Here is a 7,272-nt window from a genome sequence, read left to right as displayed (position 1 = left end):
GCAAAAAAGGAATTATAAAAGTCAAATCTACAGCCCTTGTGACAGGCCCTACATTCAGAAAATCATGTCTTTTACTAAATTACAAGAAGAGAAGTCTTTTTCTCGGAAGATGTAATATATTGGGTTCCTCATTTGGGGTCATTCCTGAGTACAATGATTTTATTATTATTATTATTATTATTATTATTATTGAAAATCTATTAGAGTGACAAGCACAAATCGAAAATCAAGATTTGTATCAGCGAAGCTTAAAGATAGATTAAAGGCATTGATTTTGGTTGTACAGAAATATAGGAAAAAATGAATCACACAAGCTTTCTGAAAACCCACTGCGAATGTTTCTCGTAAAATCTTAAGACCAAGTACTACACGGTCTGAATAGCACTCTGAAATCTAGCCAGTAGAGGGCAGTCAAAGAGTAGTTCATAGAATTCGAGGGCTCCAGACTCTTTCCATATTTCTTGCAAATTCCTGCCAGTAAGCTTTTCTGATTTTATAAAATCCAGTGCGTTAATTATATCATTTCTGGATTCTGGATTCATGTTACCATTATAACAATTGCTTCCTTACAGGCGTTGGTTTCCTTTAAATTTTTCAGAATCTGAAGTTGGTGAAGTCTTATTAGCTGGATCTTCCTTAATTTAATGTACCCTAAATTGCTTTTTATATGACTCACTGCAAAATGGAGAATAAAAATTTTCTCTCTATCTGTGAAAAGTCTGAATATAATTTAGAAATGTTGAATGAAGGATTTATCTGCAGTGGAAGGGAGCATAAATAGAAGGAGTTGCCAGATAAGGAAAGATAAGTAAACCTTCCAATGTTTAGAGTCATATCAGAAAAGTCAAACTCTTGGTTTTAATTTCCCATTTACTCAAACTACTAAATCCCCCTGAGAAACAGTGGGATGGAAATGCCCTTTGGGGAAGAGTTCCTGGTACTTTCAGGGGAAAATTGTACAGAAATAGGCATGTTTGCTGCATTGTAGCCTCAAGTCATTCCTACTTCATATCCAGCCTGCCCCCAGGAAGTGGTGAATCAGTGATGCATCAGAATCAAGAACTTCACATGAACACATATGAAGTTTAGTTTTAAAAATGGGTGAAAGTTCAAGAGTGACGTTTTTTAATTTTTTTCAAAAATCGTTTTCATATTTTAGTTGGAACAAGTCAAGCAACGTTTGTGTTCAGTTCAATCCAGCAAACTATTGCCTCTGTGCACCAGACCCTGCACCCATTATGAATGGAGGAAGGGAAAAGAATGCCACCAGGATAAGCAGGCGCCATTGTGGAAGTTGTTGTGGAGGATAGTTCCTTCTCACTCTTAGGAAATGTGATGCTCTTGACCATTTGCTATGCCTTGGTTCTCAATTTGTGCTCTTGCCATCACCCCACCATCCAGCCCAGTAACATCAAGATCACCTGGGCACTTGTCAGAAATGCAACCCTGTGGTTTAACAAGGCCCTCCAGGTGATTTTGTTGAGCACTCAAGTTTGACAACCAAGTTATTCGCCCCTGGGCAGGTAGATTAATTTACTTGATACATTTGAAGAAAGAACTGGGCATGCTTATCTCCGCCGTCCTCTTCTTCCTGAGTGAAGTGTACGCAGAAGGCATGGCTTCTCAGCTGTTCCTCTAAGCAGCGGCTCTTTCCACCCATCTGGAGATTTAGATTCTAGAGTTCGGTATCACATTTGCCTGCAGATGTAAGTCACATCTTTCAGCCTCGTTCTGTCAGTAATAAAGGTAATATTTTGGCTTCTCCCAACCCTATTCCTTGTCTTATCTTTCAGTTGTTAAGAATGCAGGCAGGGAAGACGGATTCTGTTCAATGACCCCCTTCAAGACTCCAGTGAAGTTCAGGATCTGGCAGAGGGGATGGATTTATATAGAAGTATGTTTAAAACAGTGTACATTTCATAGTCATAACATAATTCCCACTCTAAAAAGCTTGTGTGTCTCTTTGCAGTATGTTATCTTTTTTGTTTTTTTCTGCATTTTTTTATATTTATTCTTTTGATTTCAGAAATAGCAACTTTATCCATATGGCAAAATTTGACATTTTATAATGAACAACAAAAAAAAACAAGCTGATCAGATATCATTTAATTTAAAAATTATTTCCAAAATGTTTTAAGAAAAGTTATAGGATGGATCCATTTAATATTCATGTAAATATATTGTAACTCTGATAACTCAGAGTGATTTGGGTGACTTCTTTTGGAATCTTTGCATTATAAACAAAGCACAGGTTTTACCTGTAGTTGAAAATTAAAATTCCTGCCCCCCTTCTCTTTGCTTATCTCAGTCTTTCCCATCCCTTACTGCCTGATTTACTTTTCATTGTCTACCACAGTCATCAGGGACCCCTTCCTCTTTTGAGTGCCCATAGAACTCATGTCTTGGTCTTCTTCACTGACACTTTATCTGTGCTTCTTATTTATTCATGTCCCGTTTTCTCAAATTCTTTCTGAATACATAGCATCTTACTCTCCTTTATAGTGTCAGCACCACAGTAGAGGATATATAAGTACATGTTGATTATAACATTTATTTCTTACACATTTTTAACATTTTTTATTTCTGAGTATTCAAGAAATGATTTACGTTTTAGTTACAAAACTTTTCTGTTATATAATTTTTAATTCATGTATTAATTTAACCTTTGAATCTGTCATTTAAAAATGTCTCATAGTGACAGAAAGTAAATTGTTGGTTGTCTAGGGATGGGGAAGTTGAGGGAAAATGGGTATGAGGTTTTTTGCGGGGAGCAATAAAAATATTCTGAAATTGTTTGTGGTGATGGTTGCATAACTGTGGGAATATATTAAAAATTATTGAATTGCACATTTTTAAATGGGTGAATCGTAGGGCATGTGAAACATCTCAACAAATGTGTTATTTAAAAAAAATCTCATATGATAAAGGCTAGAGTGACAGAGCTGTCAGAAAAAGAGATGAGCTCTTTTCAGCATTTTGACTTTGATGCCGATAGGTTTGTCTCCATAACTTATAAAAACTTATAGAACAGAAAAGAAAGATTAAAGCCATGCCAATCTTTATGAAACATTCATATTATAATCTTTTCTTTTTTATTTCTCTTTTCCATACATATATGTGAGATATTCTAAATCTTACTCTAGTTCTAGGCAGATTTTGTTACTAAATTCCAAACCATTTTCATTTCCAAGAAAGGGAGTTCCTCAAAAATGGACTTCTTACTTGAAATGGAAGTCGTGGCTGTTTACAATAGCAAAGATATGGAATCAACCTAGGTGCCTATCAACAGTGGATTAAAGAAAATGTGGTACATATTCACCGTGGAATACTATACAGCCATAAAAAGAACAAAATCTTGTCTTTTGTAGCAACATGGATGCAACTGGAGGCAATTATCCTAGGGTAATTAACACAGGGACAGAAAACCAAACATAGCATGTTTTTACTTATAACTGGGAGCTAAAATTGAGTACACATGGAAATAAAGATGGGAACAATAGACACTGGAGCCTACTAGAGCAGGAAAGGAGGGAGGGGAGCGTGGGCTGAAAAACCACCTGTTGGATACTATGCTCACTAACTGGGTGAGGGGACCACCCACACCTCAAACTTCAGCATCAAGCAATATGCCCAGGTAAAAAACTTGTACATGTACCCCCTGACTCCAACTTTTTTTTAAAAAAGAAGAGAAATGGAAGGCTTGGTGACATGTTTTAAAACCTGCAAAAGAAATGAAGAAGTTGTATAGTGTGTTACTAACAATGACAGTGGTCTACTTTGTTATTAGCAATGGTTGAAATTTACTGTTTATTATCTTTGTTTTACAGGTGGGGCAACTGACACACAGAGGTATTAAGCCCAAGGTCACTCTGTCCATGAATGATGAAGCCAGTTGTGAACAGCCTACAACCAGAGCCTGGGCTCTTAAATATCAGGCTTTGCTGGCTTTGATGAGTAGATCTTTATATGAAGGCAAGTTCTTCCCCATTGTGAAGGCACATTGTGAAGGCACATTCCCTGTATGGATAGGAAAATAACACAGCACTGAAGTGTCTGCTAGGATGGAAAAGTAAATATGAAAAAACCAAGGCTATGACAAAATGCTGAATTAGAGTATGTTCAAATCATAGCTACTCTATAGGCTCAACCAGTATAAGCACTGTTCCTAATTGGTAAACCTAGAAGCGCATTCTCCACCTGGAGGATCTAGTGAGGTTTAATCAAAATAGTTTGTGTGAAAGTGACTGTTGTCTCATAGAGACCCAGTAAAAGTTTGATTTCTTGAATAATACAAGTTGGCATATGTTGCCCCTCATACATGTCCTATTTTACTTACGTATAATGCTTTAAGGCAGAAATTTAAAGTGCTTTATGAATGTTTTCTTATTACTCATAGCCCAGCTGCAAACTGTTGACAAATAATTTGTCCAGTTTGGAAAAAGTTTGTAAGGTTGGAGAAAACAGAATTGAGAAAGGACAAATAATAAGTATAAAGAAGAAATCATCTTTATTATAGTGTTTTCCTGTGGACAGATGTTATTACTAGTGTTAGTACTAAAGTTTTCATTACCCAATTAATTAATTCAGCGATATTTACTACATGTTGTTCTCAGTGTCTGAGGTTATTTAGATGCTAGAGATAGAGCCAGCCGTGGATGAGACAGATCATAATCAGGTCCATCCTGGAGTTTACCTTTTAGGAGATGGAGAGAAAGACAATAAACAAGTAAAATAAGCAAATGAACTAGAGAAAGCCTGGTAGTGTTGAGTTCTAATGGGTTAGCTAAGAGGATATGGTTTAGAGTTGAATTAGAATCAACCCTCAGAATTTATTTTGCTGATCCTAAAGGACAACTTGACACTTATAAAATATTAATCTTGCCATAAAAATGTCAACTATATTGCTGTAGAGAATCTCCAATGAAGTTCTTTGTGATCAGAGGACTATATAATGATGATCAATTTTTGCACAGTGTTTTACAGGGTGGACAGCACCCTACAGGGTGTGGGCTAATAGAATGACTTGATACTGTTTTTGTTCAAGGGCAAGGTGCTGAACTCAGCAGGACTCTCTCAACAGTCCCTGCTGAGCGGCCACTACCACTTCCAAGCAAAACCTAATCCATTAAGAAAGCCTAATTTAATAATATTAGGCTTGCTAGGTAAAATATTCTCATTTTTTCCCTCATCTTTTCTGAAGAGAATTTTTATTGTTTTCCTGACTGTCTAGTCATTCACTTATCTGTTAATCTTCAGGCTGCAGGTACAGCCAGGGTGGGCGTAATGTGATCTTTTTAGTCAGATGCACCTTTGGGCCCCCAGAAAGATAATGATGTCTCCTGAACTTAAAAGATGAATTCAGTTTTGTGCCCATGTGGTCCTAAGGTTTTGGTTAACCTTGAGTGACTAATTTTTGTGATTTTATGTGGTCACTGTTCAGTAGTAATGAATTAAGAAGGCATGAATCTATGGACTCAGTTGAAATTTAGTCCCCAAAGATGAGAGGTCAGTACACACTTTCTATCTGTTGTATTCCATCCTCCCAACCCTTGCACAATGGACAAAAGGAAACTGTTCTGAAAGTAGGCTGTTAAAAAACAAATCTGTAGGAACATCAGCTTGGAGCTTAGGAAAAGGATGTTTTCTCCAATTTATCACGTGAGTTTACTTTCACTTTAGAGGAAAGTATCCCCTTTTTACTTTGTATATTTATTTTCCATCTTTCTGTATCTTGCTTTAAAAAAAACGAAATATCATTTTAAAGTCAACAAATCAATGTTACAAATAATCAGATCCCACTGACTTAAATGTAGAAGTTTTCAGACTACTGATGTTATGAAACAGTATGTTCAAGTTACAAAGTCGGGTTCTATAGGCTGGACTATGTGGAATTATAATTTTGTAGTTAATGTAGAATATTGACGATTCTATATCGGTTAAGTTAACCAAATAAACCAAGTTAAGTTTTTCAATTTTTGTAAAGACAGACATATCTGAAAGTGACCACATAAAGAAAAATAAATGGTAATCTCTTCATGTTGTGTTTTGAGTAAAAATGAATGGGCTTCTCCCTCTGTTACAGTTTAGAAAGTAAGGATAGCATGTTCCTAGAGAATCCGAAAGGCAAAATTTAGAGAATAGGTGATTAATGAGTTATTTCGTATTTGATTTTCCAATTCTGATTACCTTAGCTTTATTTGTAAGGAGGTAGCACTATGCTTTGCAAACAAAGAATGATTCATATATATCCATTTGGTTGATCTGAAAGAGGTGTTTTTTTAAATTTATGCATGAACAACAGCTTGCCTGTGTTCTTGACCTTGAGAAAATGCTACTGGAAACTGAGTGTGATAGAGATTGTGATAACTAAGGTAAATTCAATTTGTATAACCAGAAGTCTTGGTAAATTAGGTACTGAATTTGATGATTAGGCTTTGATAGTCTCTGAATAAAGACTTATCTCTGATTAGGGGGCTCTGGCTAGTTTATTCCTCCCTCCCCCAATACAGGCCTTTGAACTTATTGAGTACTCAGTGCTCATAGAGTTTAAATATCGGAGAAAATTTGTAGAGCACACAAAGGCAAGGTAGCACTTAATAAAATGGAATATGATATCCTGAAAGAGTAAGATGAACATAGAAAAGCAATGTTGCTTGAAATGTAAAAGTTGTCTTCTCTAGCAAACCGGATAAAAATCATTTGATCTGAGTTTTATCAAGTTATTGCATTCCTAAAGTGTTAATTTGCATCTTAAATTGGCCGAAGATTTCTGGAATAACTAATAACTGTGTTGAAACCTCACCCAAGGCATGCAGTGTGCAAAGCTGTGAACAAAGTTGGTATTTATCATTCTTAGTGCCATCACAATGTGCCAAGCAAGCGCTTCTTAGTTTGGTTACAGTTGCTTTTTAGTTCTGCCTATTGTTGGCATAAGACACGTGAACTTACTCTTTCTTGGCAATTCTCTTTGCAGTTAAGCAGTGCTGGCTTTTGCTCAGTCTCTCTTTTCTTTAACATAGTTTTAACTATGTACTGAAATGTACTAAAATGATATGTAAGCACTGTCTTTAATTAATTGTGCTTTCAGCTAGCATCTGGAAAGCATAATAGAACATCTGCTTTGCATAAAGCCACCTAAGGATTATTAAAATCTGATATTTTAAGTCTTTTTATATTGTAAGTACCATGTGTTAGTCACACTCAGATACAAATGATTTGAAAAGAAATTAAGCAAAATGGCAGTAATTCAGTGCTTTAAAATAATCAGGACGT

At 35.8% G+C, this 7,272-nt stretch overlaps 1 long non-coding RNA gene across 1 annotated transcript; it reads left to right on the top strand.

Annotated features, from left to right (window-relative positions):
* The first annotated feature begins 1,582 nt into the window (after positions 1-1,582).
* LOC105375703 (uncharacterized) lies at positions 1,583-4,964 on the top strand. The gene is made up of 3 exons (XR_928527.3): positions 1,583-1,706; positions 1,794-1,894; positions 3,828-4,964. It is a non-coding gene; the product is annotated as an uncharacterized LOC105375703 (long non-coding RNA).
* Positions 4,965-7,272: the final 2,308 nt, after the last annotated feature.

Source organism: Homo sapiens, chromosome 8, assembly GCF_000001405.40.
Source record: "Homo sapiens chromosome 8, GRCh38.p14 Primary Assembly".
Classification (NCBI taxonomy): domain Eukaryota; kingdom Metazoa; phylum Chordata; class Mammalia; order Primates; family Hominidae; genus Homo; species Homo sapiens.
This window is presented reverse-complemented; position numbering and strand designations above follow the sequence as displayed.